Consider the following 16,122-nt stretch of genomic DNA (forward strand, 5'->3'; position numbering starts at 1 on the left):
TATTCATAATAACTTACAAATAAACTACTTAGCAGCACTTTGTGGCAGGGGTTGGTTACCAAGTCCTGGCCTGCGTCAGAGGGGGTGGCCTGCAGTTCTACCCAGGCGGCTCTTCAGCCAGTTGGCTGGGGCTGCAGGTGCTCTTGTCACCCTGTCTCTCTGCTCCCTGGCATTTCTGTCACTGCTGCTACTATTACGGGTGCTGCACACGCCCCACTGTCAGCCCTCAAGAAGAAAGCCGTCAGAGGCTATTATTGTCACGGGATGGTCTTGAGGTTTTGGTGTGTTCTTTATTTTTTTTTTTTTATTTTTTTCTTCCCTTTGATACCAGTGGGTCTTGAGTTTTTAACCATTGACCCCATTCCAGGCTATCAAAGAAAGGTACCGTGTTGAAGACCTCATAAGCACTAAGCTAGGTCTGGCTTTCCACACTGTTTTAGATGGGCTGCACACCTGGTTAAGCTAGCTGCTACTTTTTAAGGCATAGATACAGATCTTTTTTTCTCTTATGAACAAAAAAACTGTTTCTATCAGAATACATTATCTTTGAGCAAAGTCTCAGTGCACTAAGTTCAAAAAATGAACTTTTAAGGTACTCATACACAAAATCTTCACATACCCCTGAAATAGCCTCATCTGAGTCAAATGGGGGAGTATTTTTAAAAGATGCTAAGAGGAGACGGTAGTACATCCACATGGCTACTGCAGAAACCAAGAATACAGTACCCGTGAAGTTCTCTCTCTCTTTGATATTTCCCCTCATTCACTCTGATGGGATTCTTCCTGTCCCTTTTTTAGTTATCTTGTTTTTAGCCTCTTCCATTCTCAGCAAAACAGAACCTAATTTGATGGGAACCCAATTTCAAATATTCCTTGTTTAAATTTTCTCCAAAAGTCTAGTTGAATATTATATCCCTTTTGTTATAATTTAATAAAAGTAAACTTTAATATTAATTACTGTTATGTTTCATATACAGCTAATAAATATCCTTTGCCTGGCTCTCAAAAGTGTGAATATGCTTAATTTCAGTTTGATGATTTTAGCATCTGTGTTCCTCAGAGAATATTGATCTGCTTACATAAATAGTTCTAAAATGAAATTAAATAATGAAATCTTATTTGAAATGAAATAATGCAATCTTAAAGCATACTTTTTATTATAATACCATCTCCATAGGTTTTGTTTTAATCTTTATATCTTCTTTAAACACCCCCTTTCTTTTTTTTTCAAAGCGAAGGACAAGGTTGCCCTTTTGATAGGAAATATGAATTACCGGGAGCACCCCAAGCTCAAAGCTCCTTTGGTGGATGTGTACGAATTGACTAACTTACTGAGACAGCTGGACTTCAAAGTGGTTTCACTGTTGGATCTTACTGAATATGAGATGCGTAATGCTGTGGATGAGTTTTTACTCCTTTTAGACAAGGGAGTATATGGTAAGATATTTATAATGTTTGTTTTTACAATTATCCATTATTCTTTTCATTATACAAGTTAGGTTAAGAATTGAAAATCAGATAAAGATAAGGTAAACATGTTGTTGAATGGAAGAGTTTTATTTTTCTTATTAAGATGATACATTTGATCTTCATTCCATCTGAATAACTAATTAGCTTCATGTCTTTACTTTTATGTTTCCTGTTTTGTCAAAACATATTTTTCTTACTAGAATTCTTACCTGTCTTTTGTGATTTTTTTTTAATTGATAGAGCCACAGTATAATAAAACTTGATAACCACACAGCAAAATTTACATTCATATGCGTAAAATATTACAGTATGTGGGGTTTTCTTTGAGGGGGGTAGCATAAAAGGTTCTAGTAGAATGTATATTTTGTATGTTTCCTTTTCCTAACTATTGCATGGTCTTTTCTAGTCTTTTAGTGAGAACTAGATTTTAACAAGGAAATGTTGGTGGATGGGGCATATAATAGTAATTTGTAAATTAAAGTTCTATACAGATATGCTTAGAAATGTACCTCTACAAAAATTCTTACAGTAAATATTTAATGTTTTTTCCCCATTCTTTCACCTAAATATATTAACACTGCATATATGGTAAAGAATTTCAAAGGAGACAGAATGTGCTGTCACTAGCTAATCATTTATTTGGTGATTTATTTCTTTCAATATGGGAAGGCCAGCTGTTGAGCTCATCTGAACCGTGTTTTGCAGGATTGTGCTTCCATGACATTGTGCAATAACATCAGATTGCCAGGGAAGTGACATTTCCAGGCCTGTTGTTAGGCATGCAATGATAAACAAAAAGTACCGGTTTGGCTCCTGTATCTTTCCAGTTATTTTATTTTAATAATTTCTGAATTTACTCTTGTTATTTATAATTAGATTGATATGATAAGGCAAGTTTGGTCAGAATTTTTAATGGTGCTCAAAGTAGAATTTTTAATGGAACAAAAGCTTTTTTTTTCCCCCCAAGATTTACCACACTGTTGTGTAAGGGATGGGGAAAAGTCTCAAAATCTTACTTAAATGAGTTTCCCTCTCTAAATAGTGAGGATTTAGAGAAAGACAAATGAAGTTAACAAGGTAAACACCTCAAATGTGAGATTTCAGCTATTATGCTGATGTGTTAATAAAACTTTATTTATAACTCTTATGGACTGATGACTAATGGGTGAATCCATCCATTTTTTTCTTATGAAAATATGAAAGAATATACAATGCAAATATGCCACCTTGGTAATTGGCTTATACAGGTTGAGCATTCCTAATCTGAAAATCCAAAGTCTAAAACTTCGTGAGTGCCAACATGATGCCACAAGTGGAAAATTTTACACCTTACGTCATGAGGGGTCGCAGTTAAAACTTTGTATCATGCACAAAATTATTTAAAATATTGTATAAAATTACCTTCAGGCTATGTGTATAATATGTATATGAAACATAAATGAGGCTGGGCATGGTGGCTCATGCCTGTAATCTCAGCACTTTGGGAGGCCGAGGTGGGTGGATCACTTGAGCCCAGGAGTTTGAGACCAGCCTGGGCAACATGGCGAAACCCCATCTCTACTAAAAATACAAAAATTGGGCCGGACGCAGTGGCTTACGTCTGTAATCCCAGCACTTTGGGAGGCCAAGGCAGGCAGATCACCTGAGGTCAGGAGTTCGAGACCCTCCTGTCCAACATGGTGAAATCCCATCTCTACTAAAAATGTATGGTGGCAGTCATCTGTAATCCCAGCTACTCAAGAGGCTGAGGCAGGAGAATGGTTTAAACCCGGGAGGTGAAGGTTGCAGTAAGCCGAGATCACACCACTGCACTTCAGCCTGGGTGACAGAGCAAGACTCCGTCTCAAAAAAAAAAAAAATAGAATAAAATAAAATAAAAACACGAAAATTAGCTGGGCGTGGTGGTGCATGCCTGTAATCCCAGCTACTCAAGAGGCTGAGACACAAGAATCGCTTGAACCCAGGAGGCAGAGGTTGCAGTGAACCAAGATCACACCACTGTACTGCAGCCTAGGCGACAGAATGAGACTTGGAATCTTGGTCTCAAAAAAGAAAAGAAAAACATAAATGAGTTTCATGTTTAGACTTGGGTGGCATCCCCAAGATAACCTCATTATGTATACGTAAATATTCCAAAATCTGGAAAAAAAAAATCTGAAACACTTCTGGTCCCAAGTCTTTCGGATAAAGGATACTCAACCTGTATTTTCAATCTGGCATCAGGGGTGTTGTTTGTTTTTATATTATACAATTGATCTCAGCTTTTAAGGTGCCTACGTGACATAAAAAGGAAAAGGCTTCCAAAACTTCACTAGAAGTGATGAGGTGTAAGGAAAAAATATTGATCAGTTTAGGTTTCTGTATTGGTGAAGTATTTAAAGATTGAGGGAATCATATGAAGAATTACTACCTTGGTTGTTTATTCTCATTTCTTATTGATATTTTCACCTTGGCTTTTAAGCCCTTTGTTTGACTTTTAAAACCAAATCCTGTGGCCAGGGCATGGCGGCTCACACCTGTAATCCCAGCACTTTGGGAGGCCAAGGCGGGCAGATCACCTAAGGTCAGGAGTTCGAGACCAGCCTGGCCAACATGGTGAAACCCCGTCTCTACTAAAAGTACAAAAATTAGCCCAGCGTGATGGTGGGCACCTGTAATCCCAGCTACTTGGGAAGCTGAGGCAGGAGAATCACTTGAACTTGGGAGGGGGAGGTTGCAGTGAGCCAAGATCATGCCACTGCACTCCAGCCTGGGCAACAAAGCGAGACTCCATCTCAAAATAACAAAAACAGATCCTTTAGTTGCCCCTGTGAAGTAGAGAACCAGAAATATTAAAAATTGTGACAAGACTGCAGTTTAGGCTGAAGCTTTGCCCCAATATAAAAACGTCATCTTGGAGTACAAAATAAAGAGGCATGTTAAAGCAAAATGTCAGCTTAAGAAAGCTAGAAAACTTTTAAATCCTACTGATTCGTGTCTTAACAGGGTGGCTGCATTATATTTTGAAGTATTGTGAATATTCCAAACATCAGACACATCTACACTAAATGTAAGTGTGGTAGAGGCTTGAGGGTTTAGGGCATATCATAAAGAAACCTTTAGTTTTTCTTTTGGACTATGCCTTTACCGCTAGTTGATATTACCAGGGGACTCAGTGCTTGAGGGCTGTGGGGGAAGATGGAAGGCAGAGTCACAGGAATTTCAGCATGAACAGCTAGATACGGAGAACAGAGGAACTCGAGTTCATGCCCTTTTATATTATATTGCACGCAGGTTTGTAGAAGAAATAAAAGTTGCAACAGAACAGACAATAATTCAGTTTTAAACATATGTAAACATAAAAAACAGAAACCAAAACCAGAAATAACTGTCCTTAAAAATACAAAAATACATGTCCTTAAAGATAAATAAGGAGAAAGATTTCTAGTTATGTTGTATAGATGGCCAGGATAAAAAGTAACCCTTTGGCCTGAGATCTATCCCTGCATAGCCTTTCTGTGTTCATCGCTTGCTGCAGCTTAGTTGTGCTTTCGTGTAGAAGAACGGTAAAGGAGTCTTGTCGGAATATGGCAAAAGTGTTATTCGGCCTGCAGCGGAGCAGCTGTTCAGTTCACATAGCTCAGTGGTTAAGCAGTGGGCCTTAGCATAGCTAGCCTGGGTTCAAAGCTTTGGCTTTCTGCTGACTTAGCTGTGTGACTGTGGTTCTTTAACTTTTCTAAGCCAAAAGGAATCTACAAAATGGATAGAACTAAATTAATGAGGTTTACAGGATAAGATAAAATAATTATCCCTGTGCCTGGCACACTAAAAATGCTCAAAATATTGTACCTATTATTGTTGTCGTTTCCTGTCAATTTATTAAAGACATTCAAGCACTTTTTCATCTTTAGATTGGGGATTTGGACTAGGTAGCATTCTATTTCAGGCCTCAATGAGAGAAACCCAGCTTTAATCAGTTTCTGTGTATTAAGGGTCTACCTAAGGTTTTTTGGGTTTTTTTTTTGGTTTTGGGTTTTTGTTTGTTTTGTTTTTTGATACGGATGGAGTCTTGCTCTGTCGCCCAGGCTGGAGTGCGGTGGCGCAATCTCGGCTCACGGCAACCTCTGCCTCCTGGGTTCAAGCAGTTCTCCTGCCTGAGCCCCCAGAGTAGCTGGGATTACAGGCACATGCCACCAACGCCTGGCTAATTTTTTGTATTTTTAGTAGAGACAGGCTTCACTGTGTTAGCCAGGATGGTCTCGCTCTATCTCCTGACCTTGTGATCCACCCACCTTGGCCTCCCAAAAGGCCAGGCGTGAGCCACTGCACCCAGCCTGCCAAAGGTTTTTTGTGTTTTTTTTTTTGTTTTTTTTTTTTTTGAGGAAAAAAAGTCAGGGGGTTTAAAGCTGTAGTGTAGTAAAACAGTGAAAAGCCAGTGCACTGACATTTTACGTTGTCTGAGAGTCGAGTTACCTAAAAAGCCAGCAGTAGATTATAGAGACAGTATCATATAGCACAGTAGCGAGGCTGGCCTGCATCTGTATTTTGGTTCTGTCACTTACTAGGCATTTCAGTTTGGGTGAGCTTTTAAACCTCTTCATGTCTCAGTTTTCCCATCTGTAAAAGAGGGATGTTAATATTACCTACTTTGTTGTGAGGATTGTGTGAGGCAATGTAACTAGTGACCTTTCTTGGAACCGTGCCTGGCACATAGTAAGTGCCGTGTAAGCCTGCTGGGGTGGCGGGTGTTGTGCTCATCAGCCACTCACTGTGCTAAGTGGAGTGCATATTCAGTTGAGTGGAAAAGTTTTTCATTTAAATGATTATTTTCTCTGTAGACAAAAATAAATATCTGTGACTATATTCTTGAATCATCCTCCCAAGAAATAAAACTCCCTAAAGATCTAATTTGCAGAATTGTATTTCTAAGTACAGTAAGTTCTTTGACATTTGTTTAAAAAATACCTATTTTCTTCTCTATCCTTGAGTAATGGGATGGTTAACTAAATAAATAAGCAGTACTAGAGATGGAATTTAAAAACAACAACAACAACGATTTGGGCCACACACGGTGGCTCACACCTATAATCCTAACAGTGGGAAGCTAAGGTGGGAGGGTTGCTTGAGCCCAGGAGTTTGAGACCAGCCTTGGACAATATAGTGAGACCTCATCTCTACAAAAAATTTAAAAATTAGCCAGGCATGGTGGCACATGCCTGTGGTCCCAGCTACTTGGGAGGCTAAGGTGGGAGGATAGCTTGAGCCTGTGAGGTCGAAGCTGCAGTGAGCTGTGATCACACTGCTGCACTCCAGTATGGGCAACAGAGCAAGACCCTGTCTCAAATAAATAAATAAATAAATTTTTTAAAAAAATGATTTGGACTAGTTCATTTTACACAAAAGTACTTAATTCCCCTCAATATAATTTGGTTGCAGACTTTGATACAGAATAGTTACACTTTTCGTAAGACATTTTGGGAAAGAGAAAAAATATTTTGGTGTTAAGTGCCTTAATTCCATTCAGCAGTTGCAGGGCTGGGCATGTGGCATTAATGTAACAGAACAACATTCAGCTTTTCCCTGGATGAATGGAAGCTAAGCCTTCCCTCAGAGTTGTATCTTCACCCCAATCAAGTCTTGCTGGAGCCAGACGTATTACCTGACATGAGGGAGGCAGCACCCAGGCCTGCTGTCAGTCGTCTCTGAGTAATACCAGTTGTTGAAATGGTACCATTTCTACTAAAAGTCAGACCCTTGAAAAGAGACCTCCAGATCTGACCCTGTCTTGATTGGTTTGCATTGTTAATTTAATGCAATTCAGTAAGTATTTACTGAGTTATTTTTGTTACATCTATAGTCCAGATGAAGGAGTATGCTATGTGCTGAGAGAAATAATAGTGAATAAAGATCATGATCTGTCCTCCTAAGAAAATTACAGTCCTGGGCCGGGCACGGTGGCTCAACGCCTGTAATCCCAGCACTTTGGGAGGCCGAGGCAGGCAGATCACCTGAGGTCTGGAGTTTGAGACCAGCCTGACCAACATGGAGAAACCCTGTCTCTACTAAAAATACAAAATTGGCTGGGCATGGTGGCGTATGCCTGTAATCCCAGCTACCCGGGAGGCTGAGGCAGGAGAATCACTTGAACCCGGGAGGCGGAGGTTGCAGTGAGCTGAGATCACACCATTGCACTCCAGCCTGGGCAACAAGAGTGAAACTCCGTCTCAAAAAAAAAAAAAAAAGAAAAAAAAAATTATAGTCCTTTAATACAAGGAGAAAAAAACACTATGGAGTCAAAACATCAACTCTGTGATTTTAAGCAAATCATTTAATCTTTGTAATTTAATTTTCTCATCTATAAAATAAGGGCAGAAATCACTTAAAGTTGTTATATGGATTAAAATTAGATTGTGTATATGAAAGTCCTTTGAAAACCAAGAAAATGTTATACAGGTTGAATATCTCTAATCTGAAAATCCCAAATCCAAAACACTCCTGGTCCCAAACATTTCAGATAAGAGCTACTCAGAGTGTGTAAATGTAAAAGATTAGTGTCATTATGATTTCTTATCAGAAAAACTAAGTAGACATAGGACTATAGAATGTCAGGAAAAGCCAGTATGTGATTGTCAGAAAGTGCTGCTACAGCATTTCAAAGTAGGGAGAATTTGAAGTGTGTTAGAAAGCCACAAACCAGTTACCAGGTAGTAGTTACCAGGTGAGTAACTTGCTAAGGATTCTGAACTTTGGAAATAACCCTTGAGGACTGGTTATGGTTTGGGTAGATAGAACGGAGATAGAGTAACTTGAGCAAAGTTGTGGACGTTAAAAATAAGTTTATCTTGCTCTTGAAGCAGTAAAGAGACTGATGGAAAATAAAGTTATATTTTGAATACTTGATGGAGGTGTATAAGTTGTACCCTTTTTAAAGTGTATAATTTGGTGATTTCAGTATCTTCACAAAGTGGGCATCAGTCACCACTACCTAACTTCAGAACATTTCCATCACCCCAAAAAGAAACCCCATATCCATTAACAGTCACTCCCATTCCTCCTTACCCCAGCCCCTGGCAACCACCAATCTATTTTCTGTTTCTGTGGATTTGCCTATTCTGGACATTTCATATAAATGGAATCACCCAATATGTGGCCTTTTATGTCTGCCTTCTTTCACTTCACATGTTTTCAAAGTTCATTCATATTGTAGCATGTACTAGAACTTCATTATTTTAGGGCTAGATAATATTCTATTATATGATTATATTTTGTTTATCCATTTATCATCTCATGGACATTTTTGGACATGATTAATAATACTGCTGTGAGCATTTGTGTACACATTCTTGTGTGGACGTAGTTTCCATTTCTCTTCGGTATGTACCTGGAAGTGAAATTCCTGGGTCATATGGTAATCTATATTTAACTTTTTGAGGAACTGCAAAACTCTTTCCAAAGTTCTTACACCATTTTACATTTGTGCCACCAGAAATGAATGAGGGTTCCAATTTCTCTGCATCCTTGCCAACACTTGTTCTTGTCTGTCTTTTTTATTGTAGCCATCCTGGTGAGTTTAAAATGACTTGGAACTAGTGGCTAATGATGTTGAGCATCTTTTCATGTGCATATTTGCCACTCATATATCCTCTTTGGAGAAGCATCAGATCCTTTGCCTATTTTTAAATCAAGTCATTAGTCTTTTTTTTTTGAGATGGAGTCTTGCCCTGTTGCCCAGGCTGGAGTGCTAGTGGCACGATCTCAGCTTACTGCAACCTCTGCCTCCCAGGTTCAAGCGATTCTCCTGCCTTAGCCTCCCAAGTAGCTGGGATTACAGGCTCCCACCACCACACTTAGCTGGATTTTTGTATTTTTAGTAGAAACGGGGTTTCACCATGTTGGCCAGGCTGGTCTTGAACTCCTGACCTCAGGTGATCCACCCACCTTGGCCTCCCAAAGTGCTGGGATTACAGGCTTGAGCCTCCGCGCCTGGCCGTCATTAGTCTTTTTATTGATGAGTGGAAGAGTTCTTTATTCTGGATACAAGCTGTCCTTATCAGATAAATGATTTGCAAATATTTTCTCCCATTGTGTGGGTTGTCTTTTCACTTTACCTGATCTTCGTGGTTTATTGAATTAAATCCATTCTTTTGGTCATTATTTTTAAAACCCTATCTGTGCACTCCTTTTTAAAATTCCCTGTGTGTGCAGTCTTATTTTCATTCACAACAGTAATTTAGTTTTTTGCTAGGCTAGTCTCTTTTCTGTTAGCTTTCATTCCAGGTCCAATCCGTGTTTATTTCTGTTCTCCTGCCCATAATCTACCTCGCTCTCTCTCTGCCTTTGCAAATTTCTAGCCATTCCCTCTCTTAAGACCATCCCCTGTTGTTTCACTTCATACTGATATTCCTCTCTACTTTACTCATTTCATACGTACATGGTGGTTGTCCCACTAACATGATTTATGGCATTTAATTATGTGATGACTTTCATTGTTGCTTGATAACATAAACGTGTGAATCGTGTGAATTCATGTATGGAGATACATGAATCTCCTGATCTCCTGCTTAGAGGTCAGGAACTTTGTCCTTCTTTTTTGTTTCTCTCAGTGCCTACATGATAACTTCCAGTGCACACATGAGCTGTAATATAAACCCACACTTGAAAATGGGTATATCCATTTTCTCATTTTAGCTGAAACGTATTTGAAAGAACCATTTTTCTCATTTTAATCGAAATTCAGAAAAAGCAGACGACCTGGATTTTGTCCTGTAGGACCACATGAAGCAAATTGTCTTTAATTCTCAAAGCCGCATTCTCTGCTAGGAGTCGGGGCCATAATTACAATGGATTAGCTACTTTTGGTTCCCTGTCTAAATGGCTTTTACTATTTGCTTTAAAATACCCTGTAAAGAAATCATTAAATCCAGAATATTGAGAGAGCAAAATCAGTGGGCTCCAGATATTGCAAGCAGAGGGGAGGATATCTTCAAAAGTGTTTTGTCCAGTACTTTTATGAAGAAGTTCAGACTGATATTTTTGTTGTTTTTTACAGCCAAAACAAATTTCAAGAAAACATTGAGTTGTTTGGGTTAGTTTTTATAGTATCACTTCTCAGTAAGGAAATATGATTCATCTGTTGAGTCCTAAAACTATCCCAAATTTTAGATTATTGAGTCAAAAGACTCTAGATGGAAGATTGATATTTATATCTCATAGCAAAAAGAAAAAATAGCAATCTGCGAAGTCAGATTTCCCATCTCTGATTATAAAACTATATATTTTAATAACCCTTAACTGTTTATGGTAATACCTGCAGTTTCTTGACTTCATATTGCAGTTGCTATTCATCTGAATTGTGTTTGTTCATCCGTTAAATACTTACTAAGCTCCTGCTCTCTATGCCAGGAACACACAAATAAATAAATGTAAGACTATCTCTGCCCTAACAGAACTCCTAGCTTCATGGAGGAGACAAATGAGTCAGGAGAGAAATCCTAGCTGCATTCTTTTTTATATATCATAACATAAAATTGTATTTTATATTATACTATTGGTTACAAATATATTTTATAAATTAGGATATACTTCAGACAGCATTTTGATATTGTCTTGAAATGCAAATTTTAAGTGCAGACTGTTGGTAATTTATTTATTTATTTATTTATTTTGAGACAGAGTTTTGCTCTGTCGCCCAGGGTGGAGTACAGTGGCATGATCTCAGCTTACAGCAATCTCCACCTCCAAGGTTCAAGTGATTCTCCTGCCTCAGTCTCCCAAGTAGCTGGGATTACAGGTGCCCACCACCACGCCCAGCCAATTTTTGTATTTTTAGGAGAGATGGGGTTTCACCACGTTGGCCAGGCTGGTTTCGAACCCCTGACCTCAAGTGATCTGCCTGCCTCGGCCTCCCAAAGTGCTGGGATTATAGGTGTGAGCCGTCATGCCTGGCCTGTTGCCAATAATTTTAAATGCAAAATAACATTGTCTATATTTATAATTGGGTATTTCTTACATATGCTCACATCAACCTGAAGAAAATTAAAGTCAAGGTTTTTCTACAAAAAGTTATGCAGTCTGTATGTTCAGAGTGCATTTAGAATTGACATCTATCTCTCTCTTATTTTTCCTCTTTTCAGGGTTATTATATTATGCAGGACATGGTTATGAAAATTTTGGGAACAGCTTCATGGTCCCCGTTGATGCTCCAAATCCATATAGGTCTGAAAATTGTCTGTGTGTACAAAATATACTGAAATTGATGCAAGAAAAAGAAACTGGACTTAATGTGTTCTTATTGGATATGTGTAGGAAAAGGTAAGTTTTCTAATCTTTATTAAAGAATTGTTGGAGTTAAATATCGACCATGACAAACTAGAGAAACCTGTGAAATGCTAAAAGCCATTTGCGTTTGTGAATTTTAGTTTATACATTGAAACTGGAAGAACAAAACTAGAGGAAAATACATTTACTCCATGTATATCTAATTATTTTAACTCTTCATATTTGCTATAGAACACAAATGAAGAACTAAAGGGCATGGGCATTTACTCACACTACAGGGGATTCAACTCTCCAGAATGCCTTTAGATGACTTTAATAATCACTATAGTTATTCCCTCAGGAATTAACAAAACCAACACCCATGGAGTTGGGATCTCTGCTCACTAGTCAGTCCTGGTCTTCCAGACATGGAATGAGTAGCCGAAGCAGATGTTTGGAGGTTTGGATCCCATTTGTCTGCCATTGCCTTTCTAAGGAGTAGAACCAATGACTGTTCCTCTAGATTTACTATTTTTTTGCTTGCTCAGCATTTACCAATCAAAATCCAATGCCAGAGTTCAAATGCAACTCTAGTTTTAAAGCTAACAAGGAGTTAGTGGGTTATTTTGGGTAGATATGTAGCTACCTAGATGAAAAATTTTGAATCTATAATTTTAAATTATGTATTCTAAAAAACTGTTGTATTTTCTCATTATTTATACCCTTTTAAGAATGCTCTTTAACTTTTCATATTTCTATCTGCCCTCCTCCGCCTCCCTTAAATAGAAATGACTACGATGATACCATTCCAATCTTGGATGCACTAAAAGTCACCGCCAATATTGTGTTTGGATATGCCACGTAAGAACATTTGATGTTTACGTTGAAGTTTCCTTTATTGTTTGATGTCTTTTTGTTTTTGCTTTTTAGGAGCAGGGGTCTTAACTCTGTCACCCAGGCTGGAGTGCAGAGGCGCCATCATAGCTCACTGCTCCTGGGCTCAAGCGATCCTCCTGCCTCAGCCTTCTGAGTCGCTGGGATTACAGGCATGTGCCACTGTGCCTGGCCCCTGAGGGTTTTTTGATTATAGATTAGAGGCCTAGAAAATACCTATAGACATGTAGGCATAAATTTACCTCCTTGATATTCTGCGTAGAAAATTTTAAATGATCGACTTTAGCATTCCATATCATGGTATCTTAATTATTAAGCCCAAATTGGGCATGTAATTCCTGCTTAAAGATTAACTCTTTAATTATCAATGTCATGTGAGAGGCAGAAGAGAAAATGAAGCTTATTGGTGTATACAGAAGTCCCATGTGGCAAGTGTTTGCTTTTCTAACATTTTCTTTTTAAAAAATTATTTTTATTGGATATTGACAAGTTATAATTGTATGTATTTATGGGATACAAAGATATGCTATGATGTACGTATTCAATGTGGAATGATTGAATCAAGATAATTCACATATCACCTCAAATACTTATCTTTTTTCCTAACTGAAACATTGTACCCTGTGACTAACAGTCCCCACGCTGTCCCCACCCCCCCCCAGCCTCTGGTAACCACCATTCTGCTGGGTGCTTCTCTGAGTTCATTTTTATTAGCATCCACATATAAGTGAGAACATACAGTATTTGCCTTTCTGTGCCTGGCTTAACTTCTTTTTCTATTTTTAAGGTGTCAAGGAGCAGAAGCTTTTGAAATCCAGCATTCTGGATTGGCAAATGGAATCTTTATGAAATTTTTAAAAGACAGATTATTAGAAGATAAGAAAATCACTGTGTTACTGGATGAAGTTGCAGAAGGTAAAATAAAAAATAAAGAGAAAAGTACTCAGAAAAAGGAGAGCAGGGGAGACACACCTATTCAGGGTTCCCTCTCTGGTGATTGTTTTATTCTTATTATGTGGGTTTGGAATTAGTACCTACTTTATAAAACAATTTTTATATTAATATAACGTTCAGCAACACTTCTGCTATTTAATGTCATCTTTCCTTCCCTTTTGACCTAGCTCTCCACCATCTGTGCAGCATTACTCAGACTACAAGGCTAAGCCTCGGCACAGTCATTAATAAAGTTGAATTCTCAGAGCTCTACTTTGCTTCTATGCCCAGTGCCTTGGTACTGGCAAATCTCCCTATTTGAGGGTGGGTGGGTGGCATGGAGGGGTGGTGGGGAATTGTCCAGTGAGCAGTCTCTCCCAGGATGGGAGAGAGAAAACTTTACAGAAATTTTTAGACACTGCTGGGAAAAGCTGAGTTCATTTTTTTCCCTGATGAACTTAGTAGTTTTTAAATCCTGATTTAAGGATGTGATCCTAGGGGGTCTAATGCCACATCTTCCATTTCTATCTGTTCTCCCTGCCTGCTGGTATAATGCTGTGCATATGTCAGATGCTGAACAAGTACCTATTATTTCAGTAGATTGCACTGTGTTTTTTGAAAAAACATTTTATAAGCCATAGCAAAAAGAAGGTAACTTGGCCAGGTATGGTGGCTCAAGCCTGTAATCCCAGCACTTTGGGAAGCTGAGGCAGGAGGATCACTTAAGGCCAAGAGTTCAAGACCAGCCTAGGCAACATAGCGAGACCCTGTCTTCAAAATAAAAAATAAAAATAAAAAAGAAGAAATTATTTTACAAACTAGCACCACTAGAAAATGGAGTTTCATGGATGTTCCAGTGATGGCAGTTTGGGTATAAGGTGTTTGACCAACTGTCAGCCATATTTATTTTCATGTTTTTATCTGTGTAGCTATTTTAGATCACTTGACTTAGCCACTTTTCCATTTAACATAACCAGCCAGGGCTTTGGACTTCCTGCCACCCTCCCGCTTCATCCAGAGAAGTTCCACTTTTATTTGTTTTCTACATTAGGCTTCTTCTGAAGCTTACATTTGAAGGAAAGGCTCTGCTGCTTTAAAAAAAAAAAAAGAAAGAAAGAAAACCTTTGGATTATGTCAGTTATATTCAAACTGAGATCCAGTAAGGTGCTCCAGAAACTCTACAGTGTTTTATTTCAATTTCGTTTTTAAGTCCATTTTAACTATTTTAAAACTTAATAAAAAGCACCATGCTCACTCACATATGATATTTACCAAATTGTCATAGCAATGAATGGCATCCCGATATGTGCTGTGAGGATATTTGAACTTCTTATAAACATCTTAGACAGTTTTGCTTTTCGCTGATCTTTTTCAGTCCTACCATGTCTGCTTAACCAGAATTGCCCAGGCAGGAAGACCCTGTAGTGTACATGGAGCACACTCAGCTCAGTGCCGTGCACATTGTGCCCTTCGTGGGTAACGGCCCACTCATTGTACAAAATAAGTAAAGGCCTAATAGTATCATGATAAATAATACAGTTAAATCTAGCCCTTATTTTGAGTTTTGGATGCTTTGTGTCTGACCCCTGTCTTAGTAGTAAAGAGCAAAAGTAGTTGTATGAAATTTTTCACAAGTCATCCAATTTTGAAACAAAACTTTGCTGTTTCTCCCTTTGGATCTTCCAGATTACTTAATTGAAACTCATTCCATGGCTGGGCATGGTGGCTCACACCTGTAATCCCAGCACTTTGGGAGGCTGAGGTAGGAGGATTGCTTGAGCCCAGGAATTCAAGACCAGTCTGGGCAACACAGCAAGACCCCATCTCAATTTAAAAAAAAAATTATTTGGGGCCAGGTACAGTGGCTCATGCCTGTAATCCCAGCATTTGGGGAGGCTGAGGCAGGAGAATCACTTGAACACAGAAGTTTGAGACCAACCTAGGCAACATTGTCAGACCCCCCATCTCTATAAAAATTTAAAAAATTAGCCAGGCATTATGGTGTGCACCTGCAGTGCCAGCTACTCGCGAGACTTAGGTGGGAGGATTGCTCGAGCCTGGCAGTTTGAGACTGTAGTAAGTATGACCACACCACTGCTCTCCAGCATGTGTGACAGAGCAAGCCCCATCTCAAAAAAAAAAAAAAAGAAAATTCCAGAGGGAGAAAAGTATTCACAGATTATAAGCCAAGCAGTTGAAGGGGAAAATAAACATGTTACCAATTTCTTTTTTTAATTTTTTGGTTTCTTTGTGTGAGACTACAGAGTCTCTGTCGCGCAGGCTAGAGTGCAGTGGCATGATCTTGGCTTACTGCAACGTCCACCTCCCAGGTTCAAGTGATCCTCTTGCCGCAGCCTCCCAAGTAGCTGGGACTAAAGGCACACACCACCACGTCCGGCTAATTTTTGTATTTTTGGTAGAGATAGGGTTTCGCCATGTTGGCCAGGCCTGTCTCGAACTCCTGGCCTCAAGTGATCCACCGGCCTCAGCCTCCCAAAGTTCTGGGATTACAGACGTGAGCCACCACGCCCGGCCCACCTTACCAATTTCAACTGTGTGCAAGGAAAACAAAATATGAGGTAAATTGGT

General features: G+C 38.9%; 1 protein-coding gene and 1 long non-coding RNA gene across 7 annotated transcripts in view; one reads left to right on the forward strand and one right to left on the reverse strand.

The window, feature by feature from the left end:
* The window catches only part of MALT1 (MALT1 paracaspase), an 83,013-nt gene that overhangs the window by 50,350 nt on the left and 16,541 nt on the right, over positions 1-16,122 (forward strand). For 2 of the 4 annotated variants that reach the window (NM_006785.4, NM_173844.3), the window contains 4 exons: positions 1,234-1,437; positions 11,583-11,760; positions 12,493-12,567; positions 13,388-13,515. In NM_006785.4, coding sequence (NP_006776.1) covers positions 1,234-1,437; positions 11,583-11,760; positions 12,493-12,567; positions 13,388-13,515 — 585 coding nt within the window. Of the gene's footprint in view, positions 1-1,233; positions 1,438-4,455; positions 4,520-11,582; positions 11,761-12,067; positions 12,167-12,492; positions 12,574-13,387; positions 13,516-16,122 lie in introns of those variants that run through there. The other 2 variants (XR_007066087.1, XM_011525794.2) reach the window with 2 other exon arrangements.
* LOC105372146 (uncharacterized) overlaps positions 1-16,122 on the reverse strand; it is a 107,606-nt gene that overhangs the window by 49,202 nt on the left and 42,282 nt on the right. The gene's annotated exons all lie outside the window — the stretch shown is intronic.

Source organism: Homo sapiens, chromosome 18 (genome assembly GCF_000001405.40).
Source record: "Homo sapiens chromosome 18, GRCh38.p14 Primary Assembly".
In the NCBI taxonomy this organism is placed as follows: Eukaryota; Metazoa; Chordata; class Mammalia; order Primates; family Hominidae; genus Homo; species Homo sapiens.